At 40.7% G+C, this 19,520-nt stretch overlaps 1 long non-coding RNA gene across 2 annotated transcripts in view; it reads right to left on the reverse strand.

The window, feature by feature from the left end:
• Positions 1 to 367: 367 nt before the first annotated feature.
• LOC105374660 (uncharacterized) overlaps positions 368 to 19,520 on the reverse strand; it is a 184,231-nt gene continuing 165,078 nt past the window's right edge. For both annotated transcript variants that reach the window (XR_001742606.2, XR_007058696.1), the window contains one exon: positions 368 to 466. This is a non-coding gene — a long non-coding RNA (uncharacterized LOC105374660). The remainder of the gene's footprint in view (positions 467 to 19,520) is intronic.

A 19,520-nucleotide genomic window follows, 5' to 3' on the forward strand; every position in this document is an offset into this window, starting at 1 on the left:
TAACAAGATGTCTAGCATGTAACACATCTATTCAATCAAAATCTCTCTATTCTTTATTCAGTTTTCTTATAAGATGTCTTTTCAGCCAAGACTTCTTTCTTTGAAAGGCCATCTAAGACCTACCTATTCAGATGTGTCTATGACATGTATAACTGGTAAGTTCTTCATTTACAAATATCTGATATTTTCAGTGGGCAGAGTCAAACCACAGACAAGCAAATGGGATGAGAAGAAAGAGGAAAGGACTCTCTGTGTTAAAACCACGGTGGGGAATGGCTGTCTGACCTTTTCCAGATTCTGATAAACTGCCCAGGGACTGAGCCTGCCAATATGTAGGAATTGGAAAGAGTCTGTTCAGTTTGGGACACATCTTACCTTATCCTGTGTCTGGATCCTAGAAAGGAGCAGGTATTTGAAAATTTCTTCAGACAATACCGATGCATTGTCGCCTTTGACAACCACTGACCTGGATGAAGAGATAAAAACATGCAGAATTACTATAACTGACAGTAATGATGCTACAACTAACTGCAAGAGGAGCACAGAGAAAAGAGAGAGAGAGAGAGAGAGAGGATTCCACTTAGGACAGCCACCAAAGTTTCTCGGAGGATGGGCTGAATTTTTGGAGGTGATCAACACAAAAAGATAAACCCAGGGAAGAAGCTCAGACTCACTGAATTTGCCAGGAAAAAAACAAAAAACACAGCCTAGCTAGAAATGAGGCCTCAGAGTTTAGAATATTATTGGTTTATTTGTTTTGCATTGATTTAAGTTTCAAAGATACTAAGAAGACATTAGAAAAGTATTGGCCTCAGGCAAAATGTAAGATACTTTCCTAGACACCTGGCTAAAAGAAGGATCATTTCCACTTACAGCTCTTCATAGGATAACTTTGAGTTTTAACGGTTTCTTTGTTGACTATTGAAAAAGATGAATATTCTTTAATGCGATTATATGCAGGAATTATGCTCTTCCAGAAAAATAATAAATTAACTTAAAAACAAAATTCAGAAATTCTCCATTGGAATGAAAATAGGTGTACATAGGGAACTTCCAACTCACGTAAACATTTCACACTCTAATAAGTTCCATTTTGCAAGAGGAAAGATTGCAATGGAGCTCACACTTCCCCAAATGCATTTTGGTTAGGGCCACAGCTTCATACTGATTGTAGTGCTTTTCTTTTTGCTTTTTTTTTTTTTTAAGGCATATTCTCCCTCTATCATCAAAGCTGGAGTACAGTGGCGTGATCTGGGCTCAGTGCAACCTCTGCCTCCCAGCCTCAAGCAATCCTCCCACCTCAGCCTCCCAGGTAGCTAGGAGTTCAGCTCAGCTAATTTTTTTAGTTTTTTTGTAGAGACAGGGTTTCGCCATGTCACCCAGGCTGGTCTCGAACTCCTCAGCTCAAGTGATCCACCCACTTCGGCCTCCCAAAGTGTTGGGATTACAGGCATGAGCCACTGCACCCAGCCTGCAGTGCTTTTAAATAAGCAAAGAAGTTATTGAAAGGACAAAGAGTTAAGTGCTTTACTGGCTTTATATATATAAACAATGTGGGGTGTTTTAAATTTAGGCTGAATAATACGTAAATAAACACTTAAATCCCTCATCTAGATTGTCTTTGTTCTTAGTAATTATATATATTTTGTACAGTATCTATGCAGTTTCTTTTATCATAAACTACACAATTCATCAGGTTTCACAGCCCTCTCCCACCTATTTGAATTAATATTACCACTCTTATGATCAAATATTTAAGCCCTTAGAGTACAGGATACACACGGACATGATGTCGGCAGCACTGTCGAGAGACAATGTGACAGAGGAAACACAGAAATGCGGAAAAACGGAAAATTCATGAAAAGATACACTTCAAGAGTTTACCTCCTGTGAATGGCTATAATCAAATAGATAGATATTAACAAATGCAGGTGAGGATATAAGGAAATTGAAACCCTCCTACGTGGCTGGTAAAATGGTACAGCTAACTTGAAAACTTTTTGTCAGTTCCTCAAAAGGCTGAACATAGAGTAACCATGTGACAAAGCACTTCCCTTTGTAGCTGCATGGCATGGGCTGAACTGTGCATCCTCTGAAACTCATATGTTGAAGTGCTAACCCCTAGTATCTTCAGAATGTCATCCTTTTTGGAGATAAGATCTCTAAAGAGGTAATAAAGTTAAAATGAGGTCTTTAGGGTGGGCCATAATGCAATATGACTGATATCTGTAGAAGAAGAGATCAGGACACACAGACACCAGGGATGTGCAGGCACAGAGGAAAGGCCATGTGAGGATGCCACAAGAAGGTGGCCATCTACAAGCCAGGGAGAGAGGCCTCAGGAGAAACTAACCCTGCTGACACCTTGATCTTGGACTTCCAGCTTCCAGAATTGAGAGAGAATATATTTGTGGTGTTTAAGCCACCCAGTCTAGGGTATTGGTTATGGCAGCCTTCACAAACTAATACAGTATATATGCAAGATAAATAAAAACATATGTCCACACAAAAAGTTCTAAATGAATGTTCATAACAGCATTATTTGTAATAGCCAAAAATAGAAACAACCCAATTACCTATCAACTGATAAATGGATAAACTATATATGGTATATCTATACAATGGAATATTAGCTACAAAAATTAATGTCCAGAATAGCCAAATCCATAAAAACAGAACCCATAGGTTACTGGTTGCCACGGGCCAGAGTAAGAGGAATAGAGAGTGACTGCTAATGGGTATCATGGCTTATTTGGGGGATGATCAAAATATTCTAGAATTAGTAATAATAGTTACAGAACCTTGTGATACATTTTTTCCAAGTATAACACGTACACTTTAAGGTATGCCACAACATGTACATTTTAAAGGGTAAACTTCATGTTGGCCAGCCTGGTCATGAACTCCTGACCTCAAGTGATACGCCCTCCTCGGCCTCCCAAAGTGCTGGGATTACAGGTGTGAGCCACCACACGTGATGAAAACCCATCTCTACTAAAGACACAAAAATTAGCCAGGCATGGTGGCGTGCGCCTGTAATCACATCTACTCAGGAGGCTGAGGCAGGAGAATCACATGAACCCAGGAGGCGGAGGTTTCAGTGAGCCGAGATCGCACCACTGCACTCCAGCCTGAATGACAGAGTGAGACTCTTAAAAAACAAAACAACAACAACAACAAACCTTTATGGTATATGAAATATATCTCAATAAACTTATAATAAAAAAGAGAAGAGACCAGTCCTGTCTTCTTAAAACTTGATGCAGAAAGAAAGCTCTTTCAAAAGAAATCTTGACGCAGAAAGAAATGTCTTTCAAAAGAAAGAGCTAAAGAAAAAAAAAAAACATTTGAAAGTGAAATGCAAAATTATAATAAATGAGAATATGGCTTTTTACTTTATAAAGCCCTACTTTAAAAATTTTCTTCTTTATGCTTTAACAAAATCCCAAAAGTAAATGGCAACAAGAACAAATGCTAAATGTACTAAAATAAAGCAAAAAAACAAAAACAACTTCACCTCCTGTGAGACTCTGATACTGAATAATTAAATGAATTGAGGGAACTGAGGAAATGGATATTTGGGGTAAAAGAAAAAGCTATGAAAGCTAAGAGAGTATCAGTCAATTATTAGAAGAAATGACAGGATGCTTAACTGGGCTTGCCCTTAACATTACAACACAAATCGGGCATTTGCTTTTACCAAACTGGGGACATCTGCAAAGGCAGTGACTTTGAAGTCATCTGTGAGAGGTTAGCATAGCCGCTAGACATTGTGACTTTGTCCTTAAGGCACCCAGACAAAATCGACTTGTGAACTCTTTGTAGACCCTGAGTGACAGATAGTTCCCAGTCCCTAACCTAGAGAGATCCTTGGCAGAAAACCATCAGTCTCCGTGGTATTCCCACTACCTTGGATCCAGCCAGGGGTCCCAGCTCCCTTCACGTTCTCTCCTGTGCCACAGCTGCCCCAAGTAAGAAGGCCATATTCGGTCTCTTAGTGTGCCTTCTCCAAATTTGACTGCTCTGAATGCCTTCCTTCAAGGCCAACCAGGTCAATTTCCTACCCATTTAGACAACTCTTTTCTAAATGAGGGATGCCTCTTTGGATCACCACTGATTTTCAGGGTCAGTGCTGTCATCTTTGCTTTAGCCACCATCTAACTGAGCCACTCTAAGGAGGCACATGGCATCGCCTTAACTGGGCTGGGTCAGAGCCACTCTCTTCAGTGTTAGCATCACACTCTGGTCCACCAGCTATATTGATATTTCTAGTTCCTGGTCGCCTCTGCCCCAACCCACACCATCCCTTTCAAGGACAATCAGTTTCCCCTGCCTGTGCACATACCTCTTTACCTGGGCCACCCCTCTTACTAGATGATAATTTCCTGCTTCTTCCTGGACTTATGAATGAATGGACTTGTCTCCACTTGCTTTCAGGTCTCAAAAACATTTCTTCCTAATCAGTGATGATGTGTTTGCAAACAGTGAGAAATCTGAAATTGTTTCATAAATCTACACATGGTATTTTTTATCTTCCCAAGATAAATATTTTGTTCTTTACTAAAGACCAATAAAAATTAAATGTATATATCAGGCATCAATGCAAGGTAAATATCATACACAAAGTTTTTAAGAAGTTCACAGGGTATATTTTATGCAGCATATGGTTAAATTGCATCTGTCTTCTTTTTTACTGTGTTATTGATTTCTATTATAAGATGCCAAGGGGTGTTTATGTGATAAGTTGCCCTGTAAATGGCTTTGTACTCAGACAATGAAATGAGAAATGTTCATCTATAACTGTAGTCCAGATGCTTCCTTGAAAAGGTTGCATTTAATGCTGTCAGAAACTTTGTTTTGGAAACGAAACAAAAAAAAACCCAGCTTCCATTTAATTGACATACTTTGTGTTATGAAACCAGTGTCACCCAAACTTTTAAGCTGAGTGAAAGAAAATGTGATTCTTAGAGGGGAAAAAGCTCTAAGGGAAAATTCCAAAATTAAAATGTTTAAACTTCTATATCCTTTTGTAATCAATGGGTGAGATTAAACTCAGTGTTAATACTGTGTAATTTACAGCTGCCAATAAAGATTCTATTTCTAATGCCCAGACCCTATGATGGCCAGATTTAAATTATTTTTTGCTTAATTATTTGGCAGATCTGTTTTTAGAGTTCAGAATTGGATGGGTTGCTTAAGCTGGATGTGCACTGAAAAGATCAAGAAGACTCTAGACCCAGAGCATCCCATAACTTTTAAGATACCCTTCCTCCCACAAAAACAATGATCTCACCATGAAGGACAGAATAGAGAAACTTGCTTGTCATAAAAAGCTTGCTTTCATCTGTGAAAATAACCTAAAGCAGCGAACCATATAGTTACTTGGCTGCTATTTCACTTAAAAATATGTGAAACTCTATTCTTGTTTCCTCTTTTCATGGTCCAGCACACTGAAAGAAGTCTATGCCATGCCTTTGAGGTGCAATGATGAAAAACATTATCCGAACGATTGTCAGAAACATACCAAGTCCTTATTTCTCTCCTAAAATTGCCAACCTTTGTACCGTAGAGAGCTAGATTTCGAACTGATGAAGAAAGGAAAACACTGTAGATCTCTTCATAATCAGACAAGAGAAGAAGGAAGGTGTGACTTCATAAGAGGTGGAGTCATTCTCATAAAAGTAATATGACTTGTGAGGCATAATAATAAAAGTTATATAGTACTTTATATACATAGAGTGCCTTATGTACATTCACTAGTGCATTATTACTTTAATAGGATGAAAATAATGTAAATGAATATACTGAGTGAGCCAGCGGCCAATTTGTGAGAGCATTTTCAACCCCCACACACAGACACATATGCACAGACAAGCTTTAAGGATAGTCACAATAAAACCTAGTTAAAAGTTTATAAATGCAGATGAAGGTCCCTCAAAAGAATCTGCACAGGTACACTGCTTATAAAGACTTTCAAATTTGGTAAGACTTCAATTCATCCAGTGAATCTCTCATGTTACACATTAAAAAACTGAAGTTTCCACAGATTAAGTAGCTTATCCTTAATTTCCAAATTAGTTAATTGCAGAGGCAGTTCAAAAAAATGGTATTTCATGATATTTGAAAGAGAACTAAGATTGCATTTCTTCAGCTATAAACTAGAAAAAACTAAGCTATAAAAATGTTATCTATATGTGTAAATATTAGATTGGTGTGAAAGTGATCAGTTTTTCCCATGACTTTGAATGGGAAAAACAGCAATCACTTTTGCACCAACCTAATCCATGGGTTAATATGCACATTTATATCCCCTCACTTTGTCACCTACTAAGACCTAAAGGCAATGACGTCCTAGTAGCAGTTAGCATGCTAGCACTCAGATGTCAGTGTGTAATACCTTTCTCCAATTAAAGCAGTAGCCACTTGGAGAAAAGGCTGATTCTAGGAGTGGGGAAGGGAATCTAGGAGATGAGCCTGGAGCATCATGTAGGGCCAGAAAGCAAGGAAGTACTAAAAACAATGCCACATTAATGGGGTATGTCAAAGGGACACGGGAGATAACAGAAAGAACACCCAATGGCAAAGCTGACATTAGAGCAAAAATAATTAGAATTATATTCGAGCCAAAAAAATAGCATAGTATTCCATTATAAAACATATACAATAAATATTCATGAGTCCATACAGACATGAATAAGTGATCAAATAATAAATACTGGGGAAGAATAGCTCTCCCATGCAGAATTCTAAATAATTTATGTAGACACTCCAAGGAAGTAGAGCATGTCAATAAATCCCCACTCTAGATGTGTGAGCAGTGCAAAGTGACTGCCATTCAAAGAGTACAGTATGGAAAGGAATACAAAGAATAACTTTGGCGTGGAAAAACCTGACAAACTATCTCAGCCAGGTGATCTAGGTTTTCATCATCAGTGATAAGTCATTTGGCAATATGCATTTTTGATAGGCTGTGATAAGAAGTAACCCCATAAGACTATCAAGGTTAGACAGGCCAAAAAAATGCTATGTAGTTCCACCTTGTTTGTTTAGGATACTTGCTGATGGAATTTAACTACCATGCTGTGACAAAGTTCAAACATGACCACAGGAAAAGACCATATAAAGAGGCCATGTTTATATCATTTCCTCTCTATTAGTGGAGGCAGTGTGAAGTTCTATCCAGGTTGTGGGGAGGGAAATAGTCCCTAGCATTTAGTGAGAGAAGGGTTAAGGTCACATTGTAAGAAATGAGAAATGAGTGTGGGATGGGAGACATCATTGCAACCATTTTTGGAAATTACAACATGCCACAGGTGGCAACTAGAAAGAGAAGTGGAGTTAAGAGTCATGTTTGCTTGCCCTAAATAAGAGTGAAATAAGCAAGCTTGGGACATATTCTATTTAAATGAAAAATGTGAATACACAAGATAAAAATAAGTCAGTAAAGTTCCTGCAAAGGTGGGAGGAGTTGTGATCTGAAGTGGAGCTGGAAGAGATTAGCCTAGGATAGCTCATTTATTGTAACAGGAGTGGGAATACAGAATACTGATGCTGATTGGTGGATACTGGGAGGTTAATCATCTTCAACCTTTTAGTTTTTTCATAATGTACCAGAAAAAGTCAGAAACCAAGTCTAAGTGAATGAGAAGAGGGCACAGGGCAGTTTGGAGACAGAAGCTAATGTTTGAAAGAGGCATGTGAGAAAGTGATCAGGGTTGAGAACACAGTGGAGGTTGTGGCTTATGAATTCAGAGAAAACCACATCTTTCCTGATCTAAGATTTTCTCCAGAAGTACTCTGGTACATGGATGCAGAAGTAAAAACATGAATCATTTTCTCTGTGGTTAGCTTTTTGCTAGCTAGACAAAATTAGAAATCAGAGAAGAGTGTTAACAGCACTGACAAGAATGTTGTTGAAATACTGGCCAATGACATCTAAGAAAGATGACTCTGGAACATGAATAAATTAAAAGAAAGCCAAAGACCCAATGGACCCATGTTGTCAAAGTTGGTAAGTGGTCAAAATGGGAGTAGCTGAACAAAGTGGAAAGAACAGCAGTTATGATCAGAGAATGGGACGCTCCGACAGTTTCAAAGGTGCAGAAGTTATGAGGTCCAGGGAATGGAATTAGGGGATGGACAGGGAATGGCTCAGGTGCAGGGAGATGAACTCCCCATAAATGAGGAGGTCAAGAAACTGAAAGGCTAGGGCATTGGATGGCGATCAGAGACTCAAGCTTGATGGCAGGCCTTGAGGTTAAAGGATTTGTTGGATAATGGACACTGATGAAGGCATTAAGTGATGCATGACAGAGTCAGGGAAGGAGTGGTCTGGCACAAAGGCAAGGCTTCAAGAAGCACACAAACAAGCCTGGAACTATGCCGATGATAGTCCTGAAAAGCCTGAAAGTATAACACATACTTTGGAGATAAAATGGAGCTACTCTCCCAAACTAAAAACAATCTTTAAGCATTCTGTTTACTGCCAAAAAGTAGGTTGGGAATATTATTCCAACAACAACAACAAGAAAAAAAGTATTTTAAATCACAGCATGAGTTTCTAAGACTTTAGGGGGCAGATTTATAGTCACATAATCATTCAATATGATTTTGGCAGATTTTGGAAAGTATAGAGGATTTTCGTGAATTAAAGTTAAAATTCTACTGAAATGTACTAATTGGAAAAAATTTAGAAAGGTTAAAAAATCTGAAGATAATATTCCACAAGAAAAATAATATTAAACAAAGAAAAACATCCAAAGTTAATGTTTCACATATGATTAATTTTTCTAGGTTTGTTTTGGAAATGTAAAGGCATAATAGAAAAAGATTTTGAAATCTAGTATATAGTCCTTATTCCATTATTAAATAAGCGACTTTGGCAAAGTTATTTTTATGCCTTAGCTCTGTTTCCTCATCTTTTAATCAGAAGATAGATGTTCAATCTCCCTACATTATCATTATAATTTTCCAGAACACTACTAATTAATAAATTAGTTAATTCAACAGACACTTAGTGAGTCTTTTTGGCAATTAAAATACAACAGTGAATAAAAACAGACAAACTCCTTATGGATTTTTTAATACTGTAATTAGTGGACACATAAATAAGTGTAATATGTAAGCAAACATGATTTGCTTATACATTATGTTAGCTGGTGATAAAGTGATGCTGTAAGAAAAAAATTGAGGAAGTTCGAAGTGGTAAGGAAGGTGGAGATAGGACAAGGGGTTGCAATTTAAATTTGCCCAGTCAGAAGAGAAAGTCACATTTGAAAAAGACACAGAACTAATGTTTAGTTAGACTGGCTACAAAAAATCAGAACCTGAAAGAACAACATTTTCCTCTTTTAGATGCTTTGAAAAAAAATCAAATGCAAGATAACTGATGAGTAGAATGAAAGCAAAGGAGTTCCCAGCACAACCTTCTGCCCCACATTTCTTTCTATGCTCTGTCCATTGCATGAGAGGAGGTGGAGTGGCTCTGCTCTGCAAATGAAGACCTTATCTAAACACCAGAACCAGATACATAGAAAACCAGGGACTTTATACCGCTTTGGCCTATTCCCTCAGATTCTCCATTGCATGCCCTTAGGACATAAACACCAAGAAAAACTAGTCCAAGGAGTCTCAAAGGTAAAGTAAAACAAAAACATGAAAACTTAGAAAATAGACATGGAGAGTAGAAACTAAGATACAAGATGGAGGAATCAAATTACCTCTTAGTTTATTATTGTGTTTTCCCCTAAAAAAAATATCAGCTTCAAACAACAAATCTTCACTACCTCACCTGTGGAACACAGGTGAGACTGGGCCACTGCCTGTGGCTCAGGGACTCTCACGGCTGCAATCAAGGAAGGTATCAATGAGGACTGCAGTCACCTCCAGGATCTGCCAGGGGAGGATCCTCTTCTAAGCTCATGCACTTGGCCATCACCAGGCCTCAGGTCCTCACTGGCTAGTGACCAAAGACATGAGATTTTTTTTGCCACCTGGGACTCTCCATCCGTTACTCATGACACAGCAGCTTGTTTCTCCCAGAGTAAGTGCTCTCTCTGGGAGAGTGAGAAAGGGCGAAAGGTCTCTCAAGACAGAAGCTACTTTTTTGTGTGTAAATTAATCACAGAAATGATTTTCCATCACTCCTGCTGTAGCCTCTTCATCAGTAAGTGCAGACTGCTCTCAAACGGAGGGGATTACATAAGGTTGTAAATCCCAGGTGTCTGGGATCATTGGGAATCATCTTCCAGTCTGCTTCTCTAAACTTTGCTCTCTTCATCTTTGTTTTAGCTTTTCCATCAGAAATTTAGAAATCAGCTCACTGATTCACACTTAAAGCTGAAAGAGTGTATGCAAATTAGACTGAGTAGAACACATTCACTTAGGATTCATTTTCATCAAAACACCTGGGACTTTGATTCCAACACCTCAGTTTTTCCAGCATTCCTGGTAACAGGAGAGCAGATAGATGTTTCCTGTGCTTCCTTCTTAACTACCATTTAACATAGCATTTCCTCTATTGACTTATTCTGAAACTCCAATTCAGAAAAAGAAAAAAAAAGGAGAGAGAAGGAGAAATAGATCAAGAAAGGGTTAATGAGTTCAGCAACTCTTTTCAGCTGCTCAACCAAAGACTTTTTCACTGTTTTTACAGACCATGAAAAAATAATTACCTGCTTCAAAACTTGTCTCAGAGAAGGGACATTTTTGTATTTTTTGACTTGTATACTTTAGTGTCCAATTTTCCATTTATCATTCCACAGATCTCTGAGAATCCTCTATGTCACGAAAATTTATATGAAATTAGTACATGTTCAAATTTTTTTCGACCAGCTGCATCCTCTCAGGTCCTCAAGGTACCTATCATTAGCACTTTACTGCCTCAAGCACTTATAGACTGGAATAGAGACATTACCATGGCCAATAGCAATTTATTTTATTGGCACCAGAAGAGCTAATTAGTCTTCATGTTCTAGCAACTACTACTCTGGTAACTGTTATTTTTTCTGGTTGTGGCCAGTATTTTTTTTTCCGGTAAGCATTTTTTTAATGATTTACAGTAAAGAGATGACTGAAGAAAGAAAATCTATTAAGTTTTGAAGATAGAACCTGATAATAGCTCTTTCAGAAGCCAACAAAGCAGAGGGGTATATGTTAGCACATAGTCAAAGATTTGTTTGAAAACATGCTGGTGATATATTTCTAAACTTGCTAGTAAATAATTTGCAATTTTGACACAAAACATTCTTTTGGTATAGGCTTCCACTGATAAATTGTTAATTCTAATTAATATATCAGATAAACTTGTGAAATGGGAAAGTTCATTAACTACTGAAGCATTTTAGATGATGAATAGCATGAAAGGTCATGTACCTAAATATATTACGAAGGCAAAAATTTTAATCAGAATATCCTTCCCAATTAATCTTGACCTAATATTTTTTAGTGCTTTTCCATTCTAATCTCTGTAGGCCTTTACCAGTGAGTATAAATGGAGGGAGATAAGGAAAGGCAAGAAAAATGATGTGAAGCAAAGAATATGAAAGAGGAATAAAAAGGTAGTGTGAAAGTAGCAGTGGTAAAAACATTCTACTAATCAAAACCTTTCCACGAGGGGAGAAAAAAAGTGGTTAAAACCCAAGAGAGCTGCATTTTACTTCATTTCTTCTGCAATTTCAAATTCAATTTCAATTTCAAATGTGGCATAATTTCACTCCAAGGTCTATTAGAAATGTCAAAGGCATAGTTATCACTGGCTTACTGCTATCTTGTTTATATTATGTGTCATATAATAGGTGGCCTAGTCCTCCTTCCATTGGTTGCTGTAAAGCTCAAAACAGAATATTCAGCCTACCTCTAACAAATGCACATATTTTGTAGTATTGTTACTGGTATATGTTAGTCTATTCTCATGCTGCTAATAAAGACATACCTGAAACTGGGTCGTCTATAAATCAAAGAAGTTTAATGGACTCCCAGTTCCACACAGCTGAGGGGAACCTCACAGTCATGGCAGAAGACGAAGAAGACCAAACGGACATCTTACCTGGCGGCAGGCAAAAAGGAGTGTGTGTAGGGAGCTTTCATTTATAAAACCATCAGATCTCGTGAGACTTATTCGCTATCACGAGAACAGCATGGGCAAGACCCGCCCCCATGATTCAATTACCTCCCACCGGGTCCCTTCCACAACACTTCGGAATTATGGGAGCTACATTTCAACATGAGATTGTGGGGGGCGGGACACAGCCGAACCATATCACAGTGGTAATCTGCATGGGTCTGCAGCAACCTCAATTCTTGCCTCCTCAGAAGAAAGGATTTGACTGAGGGGCAGAAGGAGAGGCTAAAGTAAGTTTTAAAGCAGGAGTGAAAGTTTATTAAAAAGTTTTACATAAGTGAGGAAAAGAAGAAAAGAAAGGAAGGTACACTTGGAAGAGGGCCTAATGGGTGACTTGAGAGACCAAGTGTGCCGCTTGGCCGCTTGACTTGGGATTTTATATGTTGGCGTAATTCCGGGATCTTGTGTTACTTCTCTCCACTCCTGAGATCTTATTGTGAAGCTGCTGATCAGTTTCAGATGTTTTCTATTAGGAGAATGCCGTTCCCTGGCACCAGCTGTGATCAATTATTACTTTAGGGAGACAGTTAACAACCACCTGACTATCACCTGAGGGTTGCCCAGCACTCCTGGTGTGTGGTGGGGGGGGAAGCCCTCTCCTGCCCTGTTCATACTTGACTAGCTACCTACTGTAACAGTAGGCGTTTTATGTTTTAATTTCTTCCCTGGATTTAGTTTATTTTTCCTATATCTATTTTCATTTTAGTAAATGGTTTTTATCATATGTATTAATTAGCTGTTAGTGCATAACAAACCATGCCAAAACTCATCAACTTAAAACAAGTATTTAATGTCCTCAATAATCTATAGGCCATCTGCTAGTTCTTCTGGTCTAGGCCTGAACTGGGTGATCTCAACTAAGTTTGCCCATGCATCTGAGGTCAGCTGGAATGCTTTGTGGTTTCTGGCTAGAGTACCTGTGGTTTAATATGAAATATATGTGATTTTTGTCCCTGGTTCTTGTCACAGAGCTCCTAACATCCTTGGAATTTCCTGATAGGAGTATCTTTTATATTCACAATAAGCCCCTTTGATAAATCTTGAATTTATGCTAATAAGGTTGCTTTGGGTGGCGCCCCTGGATGGCCCCAAGATGGGGCCAGTCACCATCAGAAAGACCAACTGAAGAGGATTAGAGGGTTGGAACCTTCAGCCCCACCCACTGACCTCTGGATCAAACTCTATACAACTCTGGAGATCAAACTCTGTAAAAATTCTTGAACAAGACGTGACAGCCTTCAAGGTTGGTGAATATATCCACGTGTCCGGAAGTTGATGCACCCCAAATCCACTAAGACAGCAGCTCCTGTGCTTAGGACCCTTCTAGGCCTTGTCATATGCATCTCTTCCTCTGGCTCTTTATTAATATCCTTTGAAATATCCTTTATAAAAAACTGATAAATGAGCAAGAAGGTGCAAAATGCTACTCTCCCACAAACACAAAAAAGGACCAACACAATAAGCAACTACATTTTGACCAGAGTGACTAAAGGAACGTGTCAAAGTATAGCAAGGGAGTGGCAGAAACCCTGTGGAGCACAGAAACTCAGGATAGCCCCAAGGAAAAAGGGAAGGAAACATCCACCTCCTCCACCTGCCTCATTTACCTGGTAGGGATCAGCTCACAACCAGGAGAGACTTCCCCCTGCAGGGAAAAGGTGAGTAGGAGGCTCCTAGCAGCCCCCATTACTGTGAAGGACACCTGCAGTCTTTGCTACTGGAGGATTCTGCAGTCCTCACAGGCCCTGAGCCCAGCTTAGGGAGCTGCCTGAAGTTTTCATGGAAGCAATACTCCAGGGAAGAAGCCTGGATTGTGCCCCATTTCATATGGCCAGATTGTCACTGCTCATGCCGTCTTAAAAGTGGAGCCACTGCTAGAGGGCATCCTGCTCCAGGGGCCACTAGCCACTGATCCCTGCATCTCTGAGGATCTTCCATCGTTGCACCTGCTCACATACACGATGGCGCACCATTCCCCACCTGAGTTGCTGCAGCCAAATTGCCTCAGAGGCACTCTATCTCCCCTAGCACCATTGCAGCTGTGCTCCAACCCACAGCTACTCAAAGCCTCGTACCTGCAGAGCAGCTGCTACTACCAACCCCTGTGCCAGAACCAGCCCCTGCCTAAACCCCACGGGAACTGGAGCTTCAGCCCAGGGAAGCCGTCATGACCCTCATGCCAGAACCCATGCAGCACCCTACCCTCTTGGGACCAAAAGCACCAGCTCCACAGAGCAGCCACACCCATTGGAGCCTGAGTTGACTGGCACACCACTCCTTGGGGAACCAGGAGCTTCAGTCCAGTGGTGCAGTCACAAACCCAGCACCTGAGCCAACATAGTACCCAGCCCCCTTGGGAATCTGAGCTTTGGCCCAGCGAAGCAGCTGCACCCCAGGTGCCCCAGACAACTTGGTGCCCTGTTCCCTGGTGACCAGAAGTACTGGTCTGGTGGAGCACCTTTACCCCAAGCTGATACGGTGCCCCACCCCCAGAGAGGCCGAGCCTTGACTGGGCTGTGCCACCTCACCCTCTGGGCTGAACAACCCCTGGGCCCCAAAACCTGGATTAGCCTTTCCAGAGTCTGAGCTGCTGAGGCACCCCACATCCCTGGGGAATAGAGTCATCATTGTGCTGCTCTCCACCCTCAGATCCCAAGCCACCACTGTGCCTCACTTTTCCTGAGTCCCTGCTACCACTGAATCTAGCCTTGCAGAACCGGGGTATCTGCTGGGCCTCACCTCCCAACATCCAGAGTCATCACAAGGCAACATCTCCTCCCCGGGTGCTCAAGTTACCACTGTGCCGTGTTGGCTCTGAGACCCAAAGCTGTGCCCAGCTCCCCAGGGCCCAATCCTCTGGAACACCCCTTCTTCTCTGGAGCTGTGCTAGTGCTGCTGACTGACTCCCAGGATCAGAGTCACAGCTGTTTCTCTACTCCCCGGGCCCAAGCTACTGGGGAGTGCCTCAGAGTCACATCCCATGGCCTTGTGGGAGAGCTGCATCTACCCATGCCTCAGAGAGTGAACTTGCACCCACAACACAGGTGCCATGGGATACCTAGTTTAACAGGACACCAAGCCCAGGATACCAGCTTCACAGTCGCTCCTATGCCCTGGAATACAGTGTAGCTGTGACCGCTGTGGGTCATGTCAGACCAGACACCAAGAGGGATCTCTCCAACCAAGCCTCCCCACTGGGGAAAGAATGAGAATGAAAGGACAACTAAAGCCCTTGCCACTGAGAACCCTAACAACCGACACTTTCACTATCACTGCCATGAACTTCTACAGCCTTGGCCAGTGAGGTACCCACAGCCATTGCTGACATTGATCACAGTTGAAGAAGCTGAATGGAAGCTATGCTACTGTGCCCACCTAGAATCAGAAACAACACAGACTGCCCTAGTGACACCCCAGGACCCATCTATAGGTAAACATCTTTCCCTATGGAAGCCACTCTAAATTTACAAGTGAATGTCCCACCAGATGTGCAGAGATCAATGGCAAATGAAATAGTGCCCGTTATACAGCAGGTACGAAGGGAGCCAAATCCATATACAGTTTTAGCTGTCTATGGGGACTTTTCTCCTTCCTCATTACCTGATGTACAGCAACAAGCCAGCTCACCTACACCAAGACATTTTGCAGAAAGACAGCAGAGCCTTGGAGCGTTTTTATCACTGTTCCTGGGATTCTCAGTATGCAGATCTTGACCCACCAAAGTATGCATTCTCCACAGCACTGTGCTGGGTCCAGAGGGCCTTTTTTCTATTTCTTTTTACTTGAAAGAGTAAGTAGGTGTTCCCTACCCCCTTGCTGTGGGCTAAATTTTGTCCTCCCCAAAATTCATATGTTGAAGTCCTAACCTCCAGTACCTCAGGAGACAGGATCTTTGAAGAGTTAATTACATTAAAGTGAGGTCATTAGAGTGATCCCAAATTCAATGGGGTTGGTATCCTTATAAGAAGAGGAAATTAGGAAACAGACACAGAGAAAAGATCATGTGCACATACAGGGAACCATCTGCAAACCAAGGATAAAGGCCTCAGGGAAACCAACACTTCCAACGCCTACACCTTGGACTTCTAGTCTCCAAGACTGTGATACAATAAAGTTCTCTTGTTTAAGCCAGACAGTCTGAAATACTTTATTATGGCAGCCCTAGCAAACCAATAGACCCATTTCAGACCAACATCCAAGTGTGGAGCTCACATTAGGAGGGATTTCCTCCCTCTTAAGGTGCTCTTAGCTGCATGTTCAGGCTGCTGGTGTTACAGTAGGTAGCTATAGCTAGTCAGGTATGAGCAGGGCAGGAGAGGGCTCCCCCCACCCACACACACACACCAGAAGTGTTGGGTCACCATCAGGTGATGGGCAGGCGGTTGTTAACTCGTGCTCTTAATTGGTCACAGCTGGTGCCAGGGAAGCAGTCCCCTAATAGATAGAAAACACCTGAATCTGGTGATTAGCAGCTTCCTGATAAGATCTCAGAACTGAAGTAAGGCAAGACCCTGGAAGTATGCCAACGTATAACACCTTGGGTCAAGATGTCAAGCCGCACACTTGGTCTCTCAAGGCACCCGCTTGGCCCTCTTCCAAGTATACTTTCCTTCCTTTCATTTCCTTTTTTTTAAAAAAAATTACTCAGCAAAGCTTTTTAATAAACTTTCACTCCTGACCTAAAACTTGCCTCGGTCTCCCTTCTGCCTTATGCCCCTCAGTCAAATTCTTTCTTCTGAGGAGGCAAGAATTGAGGCTGCTGCAGACCCATGTGGATAACTACCACCACTAACACTGGCACAGACATGACCCTGGGTAACAACTATGAGAGATCCTGCACTCTCTTCTCTCCTTGTAAGTTACCATAACTAATAAACTTAGCTGTTACCAGCATCGTGTATTTTGGGGGCATGGATAATGTTGCATCTTACACAAGATGCTCCATAGATCTCAGCAGGATGGATAGATGGACACAAAAAAAGGTACTGTGTAAAACTGAAAAATGGATGAGGCCATTGTGATTTGTAGAAATTGATAAAGACAATGGATAGAAAATCCATCAGCCCTGCCAAGAGCAATATTTTACTTACTTATTTGAATCTTGATTTGCTCTATCCTGCAAAAAGACATTTTTGATTTATACATTTAATGAAACCTGCACTGAAGCAGGAGAGTAACATCTCTGCATGAATTTTAAACATCTGCTTCCTAGGATGAAATTGAAGGAACTTGAACCCCACATTTATTAGAAAATGATATATAATCCTAATAGATAGTATAATGATACTGAAATAAATAGGGTTCTTTGGAAAAGCACAAATCAGATAAAATGTTTCCCATAAGATTAGTCAGTGAGCTAAGAGTAAGTATTGAATCAAATATATACAATGGACTAGAAGACATAAATTACAGAAGAATATGCATTCACCAAGCTTAATTTTATAGTAGAATATTTTATAGTAGAATAAAAAATTATTATTAGCTATGAGATAAAATAGAAAAATAATAAGGCATTACCGAAAAAACTTTTTAAAAAATACCAGAGAGAACAAAGCAGTATCATTGGCATTCCCCAGGAACAAACTCTGAAATGGAGATTTGCATCAAGGAATTTTATTAAGGAGCGCTCTTGAGAGCAACATCTGTAAGGGAGTAAAGGTAACAGGAATAGGCAGAAAGAAAAATTGAGTTGAGACTAAGTTGCAACAATGTCCTCAGTTGATCCCATTGGGGAATTATGCAACAAGGATGTTCCTTTGAGTTGTTTACCATTGAGAAAAGGAGCCAGAATGTTGATCATCTCATTGACTAGTCATTGCATATAGGCTTGCCCTGGAGAGGTGGCATAATTTTAGGCAGCTTTCTTTGGCTGAGGACAAGTCTTTAGGAGGGACTCAACTTTGAACCTTGAGCAGATATTGCTCTCAGCATCTTGGGGAATGACTGCCTTAGTTCTGATGGGGTGATCTGGGCAGTGCACTTTATCAACCACTACAATACCTCCCTTGCACTATTAATTGCTACTTGCTTCATAAATATGTTGACTTTATCATCAAAGATTCTAATTTGTTTTGTTTTGTTTTTTCCTAGAGAAATTTATAAGAAGCTAGTGGAATAAACTATAAAACCTGTTACTGCTGTCTGCAAGGTTGCAACTAATATTCATCATCTTCCTCCTCTACTATCCATTCTAGACTCACATTCTTCTTTAGCTAACAATGTTCCTGTCTACGTAGCTTACCTGGTGGGTAGATTCAGACCTTTATTCCTGAGAGGTTTGGAGCCACTGATCACCAAGCCCTTATAGGTGAACTTCTCCATATAGAATGGAATTCTCAAGTTTCAGTATATCTGGATGCCAGACACAACCTTTCTGCATTACATAATAACAGCCCTACCAACTTTTCACAGTCAGAGTCACTAACTCCTAAAGGATATTTCTTTTCTTTTAAGCACAAGAAGCTCAAAGAAATGGGTGGCAGATATCACTTAAAATTTAATGGGACACCGTTTTATTAACTAGTAGCAAATTTCCCCCACAGGATAAAGACCTTTTATCCTACAAAGCCAAGAATTATGTGGCTCAGACATACAAACTCCCCCAAGTAGGTCACTAGGAGCAATGAGATGCACGTCCAATCCTATTGCCACTTTGGGTTCTCAGACAATATATTCTGCCTTTTGGAAACACAGCTCCATAGAACTGTAACTAATTTAGTGTGTGTACTGTATTATGGAGGCTCTCACCCCGTTATCACAGGGTAACTGCATCTTCAAAAAATTTACTTCCGATGCCAGTTTCAGAATAGTCCAGTATATAATAGAATGTCTAGATATATCCTCTGCCTCACCTCCTTTGCTACAAATTTCATTCCTTGGTCCAATGTAATATTAAGCAGGATCATATGTCAGAAGATCAAATTCTCTATGAGCTCTCAGAGAGTGGTGCTGGCTCAGGCTCTGTGAGCAGGAGCTCACATATACCTAAAATATATGATGGTTCCATTCAATGTCAACTGTTGTCTCTTCCAGGGCAGAACAGCTACATTGTAATCAACTTGCCACAATGTCCAGTTGGTCTTCTCAAAGAGTAACATCCTATAAGGAGCTCAGCATTGATCTCTAATTCTGGCCAACTGGCATTCAGCAAATGACCAGCCTTGGTGGGTGAAAGCTCACGTCATTGGGCTCATGTGCTGCTCCCTTCTCTGCCACAGTGGCTCATCTGTTCACAAGCCAACTGTGCCACCTCTGGAGTGGATGATAGTAATGCTGCCTGACATATGGCCAAGTCCTCCTATCTATGTTTATACCTATCCTGTGATTAATGCTCTCCAGTGGGCATTAAACATGGGATCCTAAGACCTTCACCCTATGCCCACTCCCATAAATCAATGCA

Source organism: Homo sapiens, chromosome 5 (genome assembly GCF_000001405.40).
Source record: "Homo sapiens chromosome 5, GRCh38.p14 Primary Assembly".
Classification (NCBI taxonomy): Eukaryota; Metazoa; Chordata; class Mammalia; order Primates; family Hominidae; genus Homo; species Homo sapiens.